The 18,217-nt window shown below is 40.4% G+C and overlaps 2 long non-coding RNA genes across 2 annotated transcripts in view, besides 1 other annotated feature; one reads left to right on the forward strand and one right to left on the reverse strand.

Moving 5' to 3' along the window:
• Positions 1–18,217, forward strand: part of LOC105375951 (uncharacterized) — a 261,361-nt gene that overhangs the window by 219,179 nt on the left and 23,965 nt on the right. The gene's annotated exons all lie outside the window — the stretch shown is intronic.
• On the reverse strand, positions 4,420–9,864 carry LOC105375952 (uncharacterized). Its single transcript, XR_929422.3, has 3 exons — positions 9,598–9,864; positions 8,745–8,816; positions 4,420–6,938 (listed from the first exon to the last, which is right to left on the reverse strand). It is a non-coding gene; the product is annotated as an uncharacterized LOC105375952 (long non-coding RNA).
• Positions 8,212–9,411: an enhancer, noted in NCBI's record as "CDK7 strongly-dependent group 2 enhancer chr9:1928727-1929926 (GRCh37/hg19 assembly coordinates)". NCBI's record gives its function as "activates an origin of replication core promoter dependent on BRD2, BRD4, P300/CBP, MED14 and CDK7 cofactors, with strong dependence on CDK7, by STARR-seq in HCT116 cells {active_cell/tissue: HCT116}" and the evidence as "EXISTENCE:reporter gene assay evidence [ECO:0000049][PMID:35650434]".

Consider the following 18,217-nt stretch of genomic DNA (forward strand, 5'->3'; position numbering starts at 1 on the left):
AAAACATTTAGCAGTACTACTATAGTGCTGCCTCTACAGCCGCCGCTGTGCCTGCTGGGGTCAGACCAGCAGCAGACTGCCTCAGGATGAGTAAACTGTTCCCCAGAAACCAATCTTTCCTGCTCCTCTCCCTTGTACACATTGAAGCAAAATCCCCTTGTTAATTCAAGAGGAAGCAAAATGTGACTTCACTGTCTCTAAGGCTGTCATTTGCCCATTCATTCAGTACTTATTTGCAAAAATTCTTTCCGGATGATATCAAATCTTTTTCCTACAGTGTCTCTAGCTACTCCCTCCCATATTTAAAATTTGCTTCCAAATATTGTATCAAAGATATCAATAGAAAATTAGTATAGAACGTAGGAGCTTTTAAATAAGTCATCCTCTGGCTGTGATCATTATATTCTAAATATCTTTAAATAAACTCTTTAAAGACTACCAGTATATCCATAGTCTTTTAAATATAATTAAATCTTATATATCTATGAATATATAAATGTCATATGTGTGCATGTATATACCTGTGTGCGAGGTAAATGTCAATATCTATATGTAGGTATCTTAATCACACACAAAGGAAAAGCTTATCTTGTTTGTTGTCATTGTTGTTGTTGTTTTGAGACAGAGTCGCACTCTGTCACCCAGGCTGGAGTAGGTGACATCATAGATCCCTGCAGCCTCCAACTCCTCAGCTCAGGTGATCCTCCCACCTCAGCCTCTCAAGTAGGTGGGACTACAGGCACATGCCACCACACCTAGCTATTTTTTAAACATTTTTTGTATAGATGTTGCCCAGCCTGGTCTTGAACTCTTGGGCTCAAGCACTCCTCTAGCCACAGCCTCCCAAAGTGCTGGAATTACAGGCATGAGCCACTGTGCCAGCCTATCTTGTTTTTTGAGGAGTGGAACCTGGGTCAATAATTTGCTCATTTGTTCTCAGATAATTCCACTGCCACCCTAGTCCTGCTCAGCCATGTTTTTTGTTTTTTTGAGATGGAGTCTTGCTCTGTCGCCCAGGCTGGAGTGCAGTGGTGGGATCTTGGCTCACTGCAAGCTCCGTCTCCTGGGTTCACGCCATTCTCCTGCCTCAGCCTCCCAAGTAGCTGGGACTACAGGCGCCCGCCACCACACCCAGCTAATTTTTTTGTATTTTTAGTAGAGAAGGGGTTTTACTATGTTGGCCAAGATGGTCACTATCTCCTGACCTTGTGATCCACCCGCCTCGGCCTCCCAAAGTGCTGGGATTACAGGCGTGAGCCACCGCACCCGGCCTGCCATGTTTTTAAAGATAAGAACTTGTAAATATTTGTAAATGTTTTAAAAATATTTATTTGTGCCACCTTATGATATATTTGTTGGGCCTAGAACAAAAGGTAGTAGCATGGTCTTGTGATATAAGGTGTTTTAAAGGAGCTTAACCACACTTTCTAAAGTAGTCACAGCCAACCCTGGTGAATGGACAATTGGAGTAAAGGTTACTTAAGGTGGTGGACAAGTTTGAGTAAGGTGACTAATTTCAAGAACAGAATAGAGTATTTTGCAGAGTCCAGTCAGGTAAATAGAACCCATTCCAGGTCATTCAATAGAGGGAAGTGAATGTGATGAACTATTAAAGGCATAGAAAGAACTGAAGTAGCAAACGGTGTAGCAACTGGAGATTAGACACTGAAAGATGGCACTCTCATTCTCAGGGCTGGATGGACAAAGAGAGGAGCCCACAAGAGGGGGCTGTTCACAGGCAGCTGGGTCCAACAAGGAGGCTGGCCAGATAGCTGCTGGAGCAATGGAGGGGCGACAGCCACAGCCAGAGATGCTAACAGACACAGAGAGAGAAAGGAGGAATACTCTGGCTTCTTCCTTCCTCACATCCTTCAATCTCCCGCCAGAACCTACCATTGAAGAAACCTAAGAAAAAATCAAGGAAGCTCAGGAAACATATTTTGCAAGGGTCAGCACTCTGCAACACAGGGCAGGGCTGGCAAGTTGAGGGATGTGGCCAAGAACAAATGAAAAAGGACTGGCCTTGATTTTATCACTGAAAAACTAGTTAAAACCTTTCTTAATAATTTGCACAAGTATGTTTATTGCGGCACTATTCACAATAGCAAAGACTTGGAACCAACCCAAATGTCCACCAATGATAGACTGGATTAAGAACATGTGGCACATATACACCATGGAATACTATGCAGCCATAAAAAAGGATGAGTTCATTTCCTTTGTGGGGACATGGTTGAAGCTGGAAACCATCATTCTCAGCAAACTATCGCAAGGACAAAAAAACCAAACACCACATGTTCTCACTTATAGGTGGGAATTGAACAATGAGAACACGTGGACACAGGAAGGGGAACATCATACATCAGGGCCTGTAGTGGGGTGGGGGGAGGGATAGCATTAGGAGATATACCTAATGTAAATGACAAGTTAATGGGTGCAGCACACCAACATGGCACATGTATACATATGTAACAAACCTGCACTTTGTGCACATGTACCCTAGAACTTAAAGTATAATTTAAAAAAACCTTTCTTAATAATTGAGATGGACATCTAGATGTAGATACTACTGTATATATTGCATAAGCATACAGACTCTATATATAGGTTGCTGGTCCATGTGACTTTCATTTTCCCCTCAGGAGGGGGCATGTTGATCTCGAGTGTGTGACTTGCTTTGCCCAATGAAATATGAGTGGAATTGATGTATGCTTTGTCTGAACAGAAGCTATGAGCCATACATAGCTCTACCATGGTCTCTTTCCCTCTGCCACAAGATCTGTGGCATTCCAGATTAGATAACATGACCGTGTAATTTATTATCCAACCTGGGACACACATTCCTTACACTTTTTTGACAAATCCACAACTGAACCCATTGTTTTAAATATAGAAGTGCTTCATCTGAATAGATGTCTGGAGTTTGAAGGAAAAGATTCTGCATATTATTTGAAAATATAGCTAAATACTGTTTAAAAATAAATTCATCTTCTGTTTCCCAGCTTTTCAGATGCCTGATAGTCATAGGCAAATAGAAGAAGAACACTCAACCATGTATTGAATGAAAATGGTTAAGGCCTCAAAACAGAGCCCCCAAGTTCGCACAATTAATCCAAGCTTTGAGATGAGTAAATTCTAATGGCACTTGTGGATTTCCAGAAGTGATCTTAAAAAAAAAAAAAAAAAAAAAAAAAAAAAAAAAAAAACTAGCCATATCGCTCCCTTGCTTAGAAATCTCCCCTGGCTTCCGGCTATATCCAAGCATCCAAGCTTCCCAGAAGATAAAAAACAGACTCCTTTGCTTGGCATAAAATCTAACCCCCATTTACTGTCCAGCTCTATTTCTGCACAATGCACCATATATCCCAGAAAACTAACTTCTCACTATTATTAGTAAGTTGTTTTGCATAGATTCATGCGTTTCACATGCCCTTCCCTGCAGGCCAAGACTTTCCTCTCTACCTCTACTCACTCCTCTAGCCTCTTCTTGGCAAAATCTTACTCATTTTTCAAGTCCTGGTTCAAAGCCCCTTTTCTGTGAAGCCCTCTTAAGCAACTGCTCCCCGTGCTGCTCACTGTAGCCCCTACCACACTTCCTTGTAATTCTCCTGTCCATCCATCTCTTGCATTTGACCAAAGCTCCCCTACAACTATATCTGCTTTATCTTTGCATGCCAAGCGTCTGTTATGGAGGCCAGTACATTATAGGTCCTCTCTAAATACCTGTTGAATAAATGAATTAAGAGTTTCTCTATTAACCTTCACATACTTCTCAGAAATTATGAGATTCCCTGAAATCTATTAAGAATTCCACCTGCCCAAGTTTTAAACTCTAGATATTTACCTATGCCAATTACAGATATGATACTTTGTAATACTGTATATGGTTAAGTTTGGCCTGTTTCATGTAGGGTATTTAGAATAATTTAAGTTTAGAGCTAGAAAGAATCAGCGATTAGCCAACTTCCTTCAGACACAGATGAGGTGTGTTGGGCAAAAAGAGATTAAGTTAGAAGACCATGCTGCTAGAAGCCCCAAAACTAACCCAGTATTCTTTTTCTTCTACTATATTCGATTCTGGTTAGGGAGAAGTTGGATTATGTAAACATTCACGGAAGGAAATATGAAGAGAAAATAAAGCATATGGAAAATAATTATGCTTGATAATAATCAAATAAATATAAAGTAAGGTTCACTGGTATTATTTTAAACCTGCTAATTTTTAAAAAATAATTATATGCTTCAAGGCTGCAGTGCAACTGGATTCTTATATACTTCTATTGGCATTGGAAATTGGTATCGCCTTTTTGGAAATGTGTAAGAAAATACAGAACAAGAGTCATAATATTCATTCTGCTTTGACTCTGTATTTAAAGTACTAGAGATTTATTCTATGAAATATTGAAGCAGTGCTAAAAATTGTTTGTAAAAAAAATATTTATTGCTGCCCTACCTAGTAAGAACAATCTCAATATCCAACAAGATGGGATGGCATATTAAAGCAATGGAATATTTTGCAGTCATTAAACATTACAATTACGTGGAAACGTGGAAAATATATAATACAAATTGGATATAGTAGAAATCAAAATAGTATGTGCATTATGATAGCTACTCCATAAATAGACTTTTTTTTTTTTTTTGCGACAGAGTCTCGCTGTGTCACAGAGGCTGGAGTACAATGGCACGATCTCGGCTCACTGCAACCTCTGTCTCCTGGGTTCAAGCAATTCTCCTGCCTCAGCCTCCCGAGTAGCTGGGATTACAGGCGCCCACCACCATGCCCGGCTAATTTTTGTATTTTTAGTAGAGACGGGGTTTCACCATCTTGGCCAGACTGGTCTTGAACTCCTGACCTCGTGATCCACCCGCCTCGGCCTCCCAAAGTGCTGGGATTATAGGCGTGAGCCTCCGCGCCCAGCAAAAAGACATTCTTATAGAAAAGCATTGGAAGGCAATTTTTTAAACAGTTGCAATAGGGTTAGGATTATGGTTTTCTATTCTTATCAACATTTTGTAATGTTTCTATGACATATTTTCTCTAATAAGAAGCAGGTAGAAAGTAAATTCGTTCACCAGTGGGAATTGAAAGGGTACGAAGAGACACTATAAAACAGGTGAGTCATATGTGTTTTTGCCCCAAGCATGCATTACTCTGCAATGGTGGGAACAGAGTGAAGTCAAGAATTGTTGTCTTCTGTGGGAAGTCTGTTTAATTTGCAGGAAATAGTGGATAAGCAGAACTTACTAAAGAAATCTCACTCAATTTTGCTAAAGAGGGAGAATATGATTTGATTTTATGCTACCTTAATATTTAAGCAAGAGCACTGCTTTTCTTCGATTTCTGCCACCTATCATCAAGTCAACTATTTATAAAGAGACTACTCAGTGCCAGGCACTGATCTTTAGAAACTCGAATCCTCATAACAATTGGGAAATATACTACCATACTACTTTTTATATTTCCAAGGGCAGATCGTAGAACACTAGGCCTGCTTTCAAAATATCTTTCAGTTGAATTAAACCATAGGCCAAACTGATACATAGACAAATGATTGTTCCTATTACCTGAAGTAAGGGGAAAAGGAGCTCAAATCACTTGTCTTCCTGCCACATGCAACCACTCTGTTAGGCCTCTTACATATGTTCTCATTAAACCATAGCATGAGGTGGGTATATAGCATAACCCCTATTTTGTCTCAAAACTCAAATAGCAAGGTCACAGATAGCTAAGTTATTCCTAGGCTAGACTCGAAGGCTTAGGAGTGCTTGGGACTTTCCTAACATTTGGACTTCCTTGTAGTTATTCTCAAAGGAGGAGCGATTGGCATTTTGGACAGAGCACTTCTTTGTGCAGGACTGTCTGACAGATTGCAAGATATCCCGTATCCCTGGCCCCGGTTATAAAAGGCTTGGAGCATCACTCCTTGGTATTGTGACAACGAAAAATGCTCCTCCACTTCCAAATGTTCTCTGGGGTGGGAGGATTCCACCTTCATTAGAGAAACATTAAGAGATTTTTTTTAAAAATTCATATTCATACCACCGATAAATGTTTATCAGGTCCCTTCTCCATGCCAGGCACTTTGCTGGCATGAGAGATGTTTAGTGGAGAAGACTGACGTTTAAAGTGGTGTCACAAAATACAGCAAACTCTGCAACAAACCAACATGCCATGAGCACAGAGAGGAAAATGCCTCTGTCTAGAGCATCTGGGCCAAGCTTGGTGACCTGTTACCGTGAAGTACCCCAGGAGAGTGCCAGATTTGCTATTCAAAGCCCTCCATTCATGTGATCAATCAGAATCTTAATTATTATCTCACTTCAGGCTTCTAGCTTTTTCTCACTAAGAATTAATTTCTCTGTATGAAAGATGGAAACTATAATACTATCATCTGTCCTACCTACCGAACAGAGTTGATTCAGGGGAAAGCATTAGGGCGTGCTATGCACGTTTAGTAATGTAGCAGGGATTCGAGAGCCTAATTTGTGTTCTCTGCTGGGAATCAGGCATGTCTGGAAATGTCCAATGACTTGGCAGGGTAGGCAGCCTACTGGCATCTATTTTTAAGAAGTTGGTTTCCCTGGATTCTCATCTGAGCCCTGTGGAGAGAGAGGTTGTTTGCAGAGTCTGAGGAGGCTGTTGTCATAAGGGACTCTGTGAGACGCAGGGGCTCAAGCTATGCTCTCTGGTACCCAGATAACAAACTAAAGCCCAGAGCTAGGGGCTGGGCAGGGTGGAGATAGGGCAGAAAACCTCTCCATCTCTGCTGTAAACACAGCATGCCTGTAGTGCCAGAAGGAGTGCTGAGGACTGCAGAGGCCACAGCACCGCTTTAACTCCCAGGGCCATACTAGGTCCGTCACTAGCAGCAGCCACGTGAGGAGATGCCCACCTTTCGATGGCCTTATGGGCAGGAAACGTCAACCAGGACAGCCTGGAGTGAAAAATAAAAAGGCAACTGATTGTTAGACATAGGTGAGATAACATTCGTGTTATCTGTACGCTGGGTGAAGGTATTGACAATCGAAATGTGATTTATTGCTGTTAATGTGACCTCATTTATTCTCACAGGCTAGGAAAACTTAGGTTACTGTTATTTACTACGGTAAGAATGTATGTCACTGTGGCAGGAGGAGTGACAATGGCTGTCCAGAGGCCTGATCCTAGCACACATCACCTACTCCCCACCAGGCCGGAGATTAGCCCTGACAGGGAGGCACTGACGTGGAAGCCCATTGCCATGGAAACCTGAATTTGGGATGCCTGCCTCTCAGTGGACAGGGTATAGGAGACAGCAGTCTCCCCCAAACAACCTAATTCTTCGTAAATGCAAAATGAGCTACGGAGTGTTTATTGAAAGGAGTGGTGCCTGAAAATTAGTGCTTGACTCTTAATTTCTGAAACTTTCATGAACGCAGTGACTTCTGGACAGCCCAGGATGCTCATATGTGGTGGGGGTGAAAACTCACCCTCTGGGGCCTCCACAGGTGTTTTAAGAGCTAACACGTGGTCAATAAGCTTCCAGGCTAAGTAGCTGACTGAAAAAATGCTTCTCCCTCATAGAAATTTATTTGTTTTTCCCACTGGAGCAGTCTATATTTTCCCAAGATAGCAACAACAGCATGTCCCATCCCACATACCCTTCTTACAGCGTGACCTCAACATTATTTCCACAGAAGGATGGGACCAGTACTCTCTCCTGTTGACTCAGGGCAAACCTTCAGGACTGCTTTAAATATTAATACAAAGTGCAGTAGAAATGGCCTCATCTCTTGGGTCTCTAGAAGTCTCCCTCTCTCTATCCCTTCCAGCTCCCCACCCCTAGTCCCAGAGACATCTCTGAAAATGCTGCCACTGCTGTCTCTCACCCTAGACCTCTAGGGGACCTGTACAGCCGGGTGCCAGGGGCCGTGTGACTTCCCAGGCTAGAGCATTAGAATGCCACGCACTTCTGCCAGCTCTCTCTAGACACTGACCCTTAGACCCAATCTGGGTGCTCAGAGGAAGTCCAAGCAGCCTGTGATGAGGCCCCCATGGAGAGAAACCAAGACTCCTAGCCCCCAGCCCAGAGAAGCTTCCAGACAATGTCCAGAACCTCCTTGCCAGCCTCCTGAGTAAGGAATCCCGACATGGACCTCCCAGGTATTGCTGTCATCATTTCTTCCTCCTGCTAACACACTGCTGCCCTCTCCATTGTTGCTATTCATGATACAGTCCACCTGTGGTCTGTATCATGTTGTCTTATTATAAAATGGGATTTTTTGCTTTCTAAATTCTACTGGTTTGCACTTTGGAATTTGTGTTATCACAAAAACATGGATTTGGTTCATTAATTCTGGCCCTTCTTGAGGGAAAAATGCAGAACATGAGAAACACAAGACATTACTTTGATGTCCATATTCTGAACGTCTTTCTAAAATTATCAAAGCCCTAAAGGGGGGCTTTTCTCTAAATGTACCACACCCTAGGAATGGAAAATAATCCCTCATGTTGGCTTGATGTGTTGTAATGGAGGGCGGTGGGAGAGGTAGACAGAAGGGGTGGGATTTTTGATTTATCATCCGAGTCTCCTTCTCTTTCCACCTCATTTAATGTGATCCTTAGAAAGATATGTCCTTGTCTTGCACTCATTTAAAACAAAGACTCCTCTCAACAGTTTCCCCAATTTTAAGTTTGTGAAGTAGAAAAAAAAAAAAAAGCTGGTAAGATCTGCTGTTACACTAATTTCACTGATTCTTACCTGGTTTCAGAACCATGTTATTCTTCCTGCTGCATTTCCACCAGCCATTTTCTTCTGCAACCTGTAGGTTTCCTGCAGAGGAGGACAATGGGCAAGTTAAGCGAGAGAGATGATTTACAAGGCTTTTTTCTTTTTGCTCTAATTTACAGGAAAATCGTCCTTGCATGGGAAGACAAACTAAAGCCCACATCACTGAAGGATTTGTCATGATGAAAAAGAAAATGAATAAAAACAGAATATATTTTATATTAGTAATACCACATACATCTGATGATAGTAGTACACACACGCCTTGCATATCAGTAAAGATGCCTTTAAAAAAAACCTGAAAGAATATTTGCATTTATTTTAGATGGTACTTTTCCTCTGTTCTTTTGCAAGTGTTAATTTGTATGTTTCAGCTAGGATTATATTCTGCTACATAAATTTTTTTTAAAACCTGAAAGAAAACACACAAAGTTATTTTATTTTATTTTAAGTTCTGGGGTGCATGTGCAGGATGTGCTAGTTTGTGACATTGGTAAACGTGTGCTACGGTGTTTTGCTGCACTTATCAACCCATCACCTAGGTGTTAAGCCCAGAATGCTTCAGCTATTTGTCTTGATGCTCACACCCCACCCTCCCCCAACAGGCCCCAGTGAAAGTTCTATTTTCTCATGTAGAAATCCAGAAATGAGCAGTCCAGGGCTGGTAGGGCAGCACTACAAAGAGATCCAGAATCAAGACACCTTCCATCTCCCTGATTTACCATTCTTAGCACAGAGCCTCTATCCTCAAGCTGGCTGCTGCTGCTCCGGCATCTTGTCTGGGATCCTGGAAACCACAAAAAGGAAAAGGGAAAGGGAAACTCACACAGTTTTCAGTTGAGTCAGCTCCATTTAGAAGGCTTCCCTGGAAATTTCATACAGCGGTTCTGCTTATCTCCCAATGGCCAGAATCTAGCTACGTGATATATTAGTTTGTTCTCATGGTGCTATAAAGACATATCTGAGACTGGGTAATTTATAAAGAAAAAGAGGCTTAATGGACTCACAGTTCCACATGGCTGGGAAGGCCACACAACCATGGCAGAAGGTGCAAGAGAAACAAAGCCACGTGTTACACAGCGGCAGGCAAGAGAGCGTGTGCAGGGGAACTGCCCTTTATAAAACCATCAGATCTCATGAGACTTATTCACTGTCATGAGAACAGCACGGGAAAACCCACCCGCATGATTCAATTACCTTCCACTGGGTGCCTCCAGTTGCATGTGGGGATTATGGGAGCTACAATTCAAGATGAGATCTGGGTGGGGACACAGCCAAACCACATCACGTGATCACCGCTAGCTGCAAGAAATACATTAACATCACAGTTACAGAAGTTCTTCCCTTCTCCAACTTCCTTCACTGCTTATTGTCTGCATGACGTGACCTAAGACCACCCTCTTCTATTGTTCCGTGCTCCATGAACAAGAAGAATCCTTTACTGGAAATGTAGTCTTATTGGGTAATTAATTACCATATCCCTTTTACAGCATCTTTCATAGTTCTTGATATGGGGTTAGAACACATTGTCGTACCCACAAATTATGGAGGTTCTATCTCTCATGAAAAGAAGGAGAATGGATATTGGATAGATAACTAGCAGTCTGACAGAATAACATTAATGCTTGATGACTAATTCATCATATATATTATATTTCAATTTAATACAATTGAATATGTATATTTGGAGTGCCTCCTGTGTTCCAGATCCAAAACAAGAACTATAAACGGTATGGTAACAGCATGACACATGGTAATTAATTACCCTCACTGAACTTACAATTTTATTTTTATTTATTTTTATATATATATATTTTATTATACTTTAAGTTCTAGGGTACATGTGTATAACGTGCAGGTTTGTTACATATGTATACATGTGCCATGTTGGTGTGCTGCACCCATTAACTTGTCATTTATATTAGGTATATCTCCTAATGCTATCCCTCCCCCCTCCCCCCACCCCACAACAGGCCCCGGTGTGTGATGTTCCCCTTCCTGTGTCCAAGTGTTCTCATTGTTCAATTCCCACCTATGAGTGAGAACATGCAGTGTCTGGTTTTTTTGTCCTTGTGATAGTTTGCTGAGAATAATGGTTTCCAGCTTCATCCATGTCCCTACAAAGGACATGAACTCATCCTTTTTTATGGCTGCATAGTATTCCATCCTGTATATGTGCCACATTTTCTTAATCCAGTCTATCATTGGTGGACATTTGGGTTGGTTCCAAGTCTTTGCTATGTGAATAGTGCCACAATAAACATACGTGTGCATGTGTCTTTATAGCAGCATGATTTATAGTCCTTTGGGTATATACCCAGTAGTGGGATGGCTGGGTCAAATGGTATTTCTAGTTCTAGATGCCTGAGGAGTCGCCACACTGACTTCCACAATGGTTGCACTAGTTTACAGTCCCACCAGCAGTGTAAAAGTGTTCCTATTTCTCCACATCCTCTCTAGCACCTGTTGTTTCCTGACTTTTTAATGATTGCCATTCTAACTGGTGTGAGATGGTATCTCATTGTGGTTTTGATTTGCATTTCTCTGATGGCCAGTGAAGATGAGCATTTTTTCATCTGTCTTTTGGCTGCATAAATGTCTTCTTTTGAGAAGTGTCTGTTCATATCCTTCGCCCACTTTTTGAAGGGGTTGTTTGTTTTTTTCTTGTAAATGTGTTTGAGTTCATTGTAGATTCTGGATATTAGCCCTTTGTCAGATGAGTAGATTGCAAAAGTTTTCTCCCATTCTGTAGGTTGCCTGTTCACTCTGATGGTAGTTTTTTTGCTGTGCAGAAGCTCTTTAGTTTAATTAGATCCCATTTGTCAATTTTGGCTTTTGTTGCCATTGCTTTTGGTGTTTTAGACATGAAGTCCTTGCCCATGCCTACGTCCTGAATGGTATTGCCTAGGTTTTCTTCTAGGGTTTTTATGGCTTTAGGTCTAACATTTAAGTCTTTAATCCACCTTGAATTAATTTTTGTATAAGGTGTAAGGAAGGGATGCAGTTTCAGCTTTCTCCATATGGCTAGCCAGTTTTCCCAGCACCATTTATTAAATAGAGAATCCTTTCCCCATTTCTTGTTTTTGTCAGGTTTGTCAAAGATCAGATGGTTGTAGATGTGTGGTATTATTTCTGAGGGTTCTGTTCTATATCTCTGTTTTGGTAGCAGTACCATGCTGTTTTGGTTGCTGTAGCCTTGTAGTATAGTTTGAAGTCAGGTAGCGTGATGCCTCCAGCTTTGTTCTTTTGGCTTAGGATTGTCTTGGCAATGCGGGCTCTTTTTTGATTCCATATGAACTTTAAAGCAGTTTTTTCCCATTCCGTGAAGGAAGTCATTGGTAGCTTGATGGGGATGGCATTGAATCTATAAATTACCTTGGGCAGTATGGCCATTTTCACAATATTGATTCTTCTTACCCATGAACATGGAATGTTCTTCCATTTGTTTGTATCCTCTTTTATTTCGTTGAGCAGTGGTTTCTAGTTCTCCTTGAAGAGAGTGCTCCTTCACATCCCTTGTAAGTTGGATTCCTAGGTATTTTATTCTCTTTGAAGCAATTGTGAATGAGCGTTCACTCATGATTTGGCTCTCTGTTTGTTATTGGTGTATAAGAATGATTTTTGCTCATTGATTTTGTATCCTGAGAGTTTGCTGAAGTTGCTTATCAGCTTAAAGAGATTTTGGGCTGAGACAATGGGGTTTTCTAGATATACAATCATGTTATCTGCAAACAGGGACAATTTGACTCCCTCCTTTCCTAATTGAATACCCTTTACTTCCATCTCCTGCCTGATTGCCCTGGCCAGAACTTCCAACACTATGTTGAATAGGAGTGGTGAGAGAGGGCATCCCTGTCTTGTGCCAGTTTTCTAAGGGAATGCTTCCAGTTTTTGCCCATTCAGTATGATATTGGCTGTGGGTTTGTCATAAATAGCTCTTATTATTTTGAGATACGTCCCATCAATACCTAATTTTTTGAGAGTTTTTAGCATGAAGGGCTGTTGAATTTTGTCAAAGGCCTTTTCTGCATCTATTGAGATAATCATGTGGTTTTTGTCTTTGCTTCTGTTTATATGCTGGATTACATTTATTGATTTTTGTATGTTGAACCAGCCTTGCATCCCAGGGATGAAGCGCACTTGATCATGGTGGATAAGCTTTTTGATGTGCTGCTGGATTCAGTTTGCCAGTATTTTATCGAGGATTTTTACATCGATGTTCATCTGGCATATTGGTCTAAAATTCTCTTTTTTTGTTGTGTCTCTGCCAGGCTTTGGTATCAGGATGATGCTGGCCTCATAAAATGAGTTAGGGAGGATTCCCTCTTTTTCTATTGATTGGAATCGTTTCAGAAGGAATGGTACCAGCTCCTCCTTGTATCTCTGGTAGAATTCGGCTGTGAATCCGTCTGGTCCTGGACTTTTTTTGTTTGGTAGGCTATTAATTATTGCCTCAATTTCAGAGTCTCTTATTGGTCTATTCAGAGATTCAACTTCTTCCTGGTTTAGTCATGGGAGGGTGTATGTGTCAAGGAATTTATCCATTTCTTCTAGATTTCCTAGTTTATTTGCATAGTGGTGGTTATAGTATTTTCTGATGGTAGTTTGTATTTCTGTGGTATCAGTGGTGATATCCCCTTTATCATTTTTTATTGTGTCTATTTGATTCTTCTCTCTTTTCTTCTTTATTAGTCTTGCTAGTTGTCTATCAATTTTGTTGATCTTTTCAAAAAACCAGCTCCTGGATTCATTGATTTTTTGAAGGCTTTTTTGTGTTTCTATCTCCTTCAGTTCTGCTCTGATCTTAGTTATTTCTTGCCTTCTGCTAGCTTTTGAATGTGCTTGCTCTTGCTTCTCTAGTTGTTTTAATTGTGATGTTAGGGTGTCAATTTTAGATCTTTCCTGCTTTCTCTTGTGGGCATTTAGTGCTATAAATTTCCCCCCACACACTGCTTTAAATGTGTCCCAGAGATTCTGGTATGTTGTGTCTTTGTTCTCGTTGGTTTCAAAGAACATCTTTATTTCTGCCTTCATTTTGTTATGTACCCAGTAGTCATTCAGAAGCAGGTTGTACAGTTTCCATGTAGTTGAGTGGTTTTGAGTGAGTTTCTTAATCCTGAGCACTGTGGTCTGAGAGACAGTTTGTTATAATTTCTGTTCTTTTATATTTGCTGAGGAGTGCTTTACTTACAACTATGTGGTCAATTTTGGAATAAGTGTGGTGTGGTGCTGGGAAGAATGTATATTCTGTTGATTTGGGGTGGAGAGTTCTGTCGATGTCTATTAGGTCTGCTTGGTGCAGAGCTGAGTTCAATTCCTGGATATCCTTGTTAACTTTCTATCTCGTTCATCTGTCTAATGTTGACAGTGGGGTGTTAAAATCTCCCATTATTATTGTGTGGGAGTCTAAGTCTCTTTGTAGGTCACTCAGGACTTGCTTTATGAATCTGGGTGCTCCTGTATTGGGTGCATATATATTTAGGATAGTTAGCTCTTCTTGTTGAATTGATCCCTTTACCATTATGTAATGGCCTTCTTTGTCTCTTTTGATCTTTGTTGGTTTAACGTCTGTTTTATCAGAGACTAGGATTGCAACCCCTGCCTTTTTTTGTTTTCCATTTGCTTGGTAGATCTTCCTCCATCCCTTTATTTTGAGCCTTTGTGTGTCTCTCCCCATGAGATGGGTTTCCTGAATACAGCACACTGATGGGTCTTGACTCTTTATCCAATTTGCCAGTCTGTGTCTTTTAATTGGAGCATTTAGCCCATTTGCATTTAAGGTTAATATTGTTATGTGTGAATTTGATCCTGTCATTATGATGTTAGCTAGTTATTTTGCTCATTAGTTGATGCAGTTTCTTCCTAGCCTTGATGGTCTTTACAATTTGGCATATTTTTGCAGTGGCTGGTACCAGTTGTTCCTTTCCATGTTTAGTGCTTCCTTCAGGAGGTCTTGTAGGGCAGGCCTGGTGGTGACAAAATCTCTCAGCATTTGCTTGTCTGTAAAGGATTTTATTTCTCCTTCACTTATGAAGCTTAGTTTGGCTGGATATGAAATTCTGGGTTGAAAATTCTTTTCTTTAAGAATGTTGAATATTGGCATGCACTCTCTTCTGGCTTGTAGAGTTTCTGCCGAGAGATCAGCTGTTAGTCTGATGGGCGGAATTCCCTTTGTGGGTAACCCGACCTTTTTCTCTGGCTGCCTTTAACATTTTTTCCTTCATTTCAACTTTGGTGAATCTGACAATTACGTGTCTTGGAGTTGCTCTTCTCGAGGAGTATCTTTGTGTCATTCTCTGTATTTCCTGAATTTAAATGTTGGCCTGCCTTGCTAGGTTGGGGAAGTTCTCCTGGATAATATCCTGCAGAGTGTTTTCCAACTTGGTTCCATTCTCCCCGTCACTTTCAGGTACACCAATCAGACGTAGATTTGGTCTTTTCACATAGTCCTATATTTCTTGGAGGCTTTGTTCATTTCTTTTTATTCTTTTTTCTCTAAACTTCTCTTCTCGCTTCATTTCATTCATTTGATCTTCAATCACTGATACCCTTTCTTCCAGGTGATCGCATCAGCTACTGAATCTTGTGCATTCATCATGTAGTTCTCGTGCTACGGTTTTCAGCTCCATCAGGTCATTTAAGGACTTCTCTACATTGGTTATTCTAGTTAGCCATTCATCTAATCTTTTTTCAAGGTTTTTAACTTCTTTGCGATGGGTTCAAACTTCCTCCTTTAGCTAGGAGAAGTTTGATTGCCTGAAGCCTTCTTCTCTCAGTTCGTCAAAGTCATTCTCCGTCCAGCTTTGTTCCATCGCTGCTGAGGAGCTGCGTTCCTTTGGAGGAAGACAGGCACTCTGATTTTTAGAATTTTCAGCTTTTCTGCTCTGTTTTTTCCCCATCTTTGTGGTTTTATCTACCATTGGTCTTTGATGATGGTGACGTACAGATGGGGTTTTGGTGTGGATGTCCTTTTTGTTTGTTAGTTTTCCTTCTAACAGTCAGGACCCTCAGCTGCAGGTTTGTTGGAGTTTGCTGGAGGTCCATTCCAGACACTTTTTGCCTGGGTATCAGCAGCGGAGGCTGCAGAACAGCGAACATTGCTGAACAGCAAATGTTGCTGCCTGATTGTTCCTCTGGAAGTTTTGTCTCAGAGGGGTACCCCTCTGTGTGAGGTGTCAGTCTGACCCTACTAGGGGGTGCCTCCCAGTTAGGCTACTCGGGGGTCAGGGACCCACTTGAGGAGGCAATCTGTCCATTCTCAGATCTCAAACTCTGTGCTGGGAGGACCACTATGCTCTTCAAAGCTGTCAGACAGGGACATTTAAGTCTGCAGAGGTTTCTGCTGCCTTTTGTTTGGCTATGCCCTGCCCCCAGAGGTGGAGTCTACAGAGGCAAGCAGGCCTCCTTGAGCTGCAGTGGGCTCCACCCAGTTCAAGCTTCCAGGCCGCTTTGTTTACCTACTCAAGCAAGCCTCAGCAATGGCAGGCGTCCCTCCCCCAGCCTGGCTGCTGCCTTGCATGAACTTACAATTTTTGAAAAGTATTATGCTTGGTCATGGACCACAGAACAATAGAAGAGAGCTATAATTACACTATATATTTTATATATATATATATACTATATACTATATATACTTTATATATATATACTATATAATATATATACACTATATATATTATATACTATATATGGTGTATATATAGTATATATAGTGTATATATATAGTGTATATATAGTGTATATATATTATTTATTGTATATATAGTATATAGTATATAGTATTATATATATATAATATATAATACTATTTATACTATATATAATATATACTATATATACTATATATAATATAGTATATATTTATAATTATAATATAAATATATATAACAAATATTACATATATTTATAATATATAATTATTGTATATTTAATTATATATAATAAATATAATATTAAATATTATTATATAAGTATATAATATATAATATATATACTATATATACTATACATAGTATTATATACTATATATTATATACTATATATGGTATATACTATATATACTATATATGGTATATACTATATATAGTATATACCATATATAGTATATATAGTATATAATATATAGTATATACTATATATATTATATATAGTATATATACTATATATTTTACTATATATATACTATATATTATACTATATATATGTACTATATATATTATATAGTGTAGGCATTAAGGATTGAAGGAAATTGGATAAGGGAGGGACCTCTGAAGGCTATGGAGCTAACATGTTGCCAAAAGAGATAGAAACTGCAATGAAAATCAAAAAATATGATGTACAAGCATGATGGTTAACCTTATGTATCCACTTGACTGGGCCATGTGGTGCCCAGATATTTGGCTAAACTTTATTCTGAGTGTGTCCATGATGCCGTTTCTGCATGAGATTAACATTTGAATCAATAGGCTGAAAAAACAGATTGCCCTCCCCAATTTGGATGGATCTCATCCCATCCGTTGAAGGCCTGAATGGAACAAAAGCTGAGTAGAAAAGAATTCTGTCTCTGCCTGACTGTCTTTGGACGGAGGACGTTGGTCTTCTTCCACCTTTGAAATTGGACTTGGACCAGAACTATATATCATTTCTCCTGGATCTCCAGCTTGCCAACTGCAGATCTTGGGACTGCTAAGCTTCCATAATCATGTGATCCATTTTCTCATACTAAATCTCTTTCCCCCTCCCCTTGTCAATCATCATCTATCTTCTGTTGGTTCCATTTCTCTTGAAAATCCTGACTAATACAACAGGGTGCAACAAAACTTTTAGCACATTAAACTTGTTCCTAGCTCCAGTGAGCTAGCAACAGGAATAGAGAAGAAAGATAGATCCCCATTCCTGAAGTCACACATGGGCCACTGAGGGAGAGGGAAGAAGACAACCCATGATGATGGCATGTGAAAGTGCTGTGGTAGAAGAACACATGCACAGAGTGCTGAGGGACACAGGCAGAGGCCATTACCTCCACTGGAGGCAAGGGAGGTCTCCAGGGGACAGGGAAGTGTGTGTCTCAGAAGACTTCTCAGAAAGGGAGTGTGTAGGAGTGTGTGGGGTGGACTTCAAGGAAGGTGTTTTGGTTTTGTTTGTCTTGTTTTTGTTGGAGAGACTTGCTTGTGTTTAAAGGCTAAGGAGAAAATACCAATAGAGTAGCAGATATTGAACGTACACAGGAAGGCAAGATAATGAGTGAAAAGAGAAGACAGGAGGAAAAGAAACTCAGAGCCCACGGGAAGCCCATGGGAAGAGCTTAGCCTTCATTCAGAATGAGAAGTGGTGACAAGCCACTTGGACACTGACCTCAGAGATAAAGGGGCCCTCCAGGTTCCCTAGATTATCAATCTTAGAGCCATCATGTGGAAAGCAAGAGGCATATAATATGATAACATGTC

Source organism: Homo sapiens, chromosome 9, assembly GCF_000001405.40.
Source record: "Homo sapiens chromosome 9, GRCh38.p14 Primary Assembly".
Classification (NCBI taxonomy): domain Eukaryota; kingdom Metazoa; phylum Chordata; class Mammalia; order Primates; family Hominidae; genus Homo; species Homo sapiens.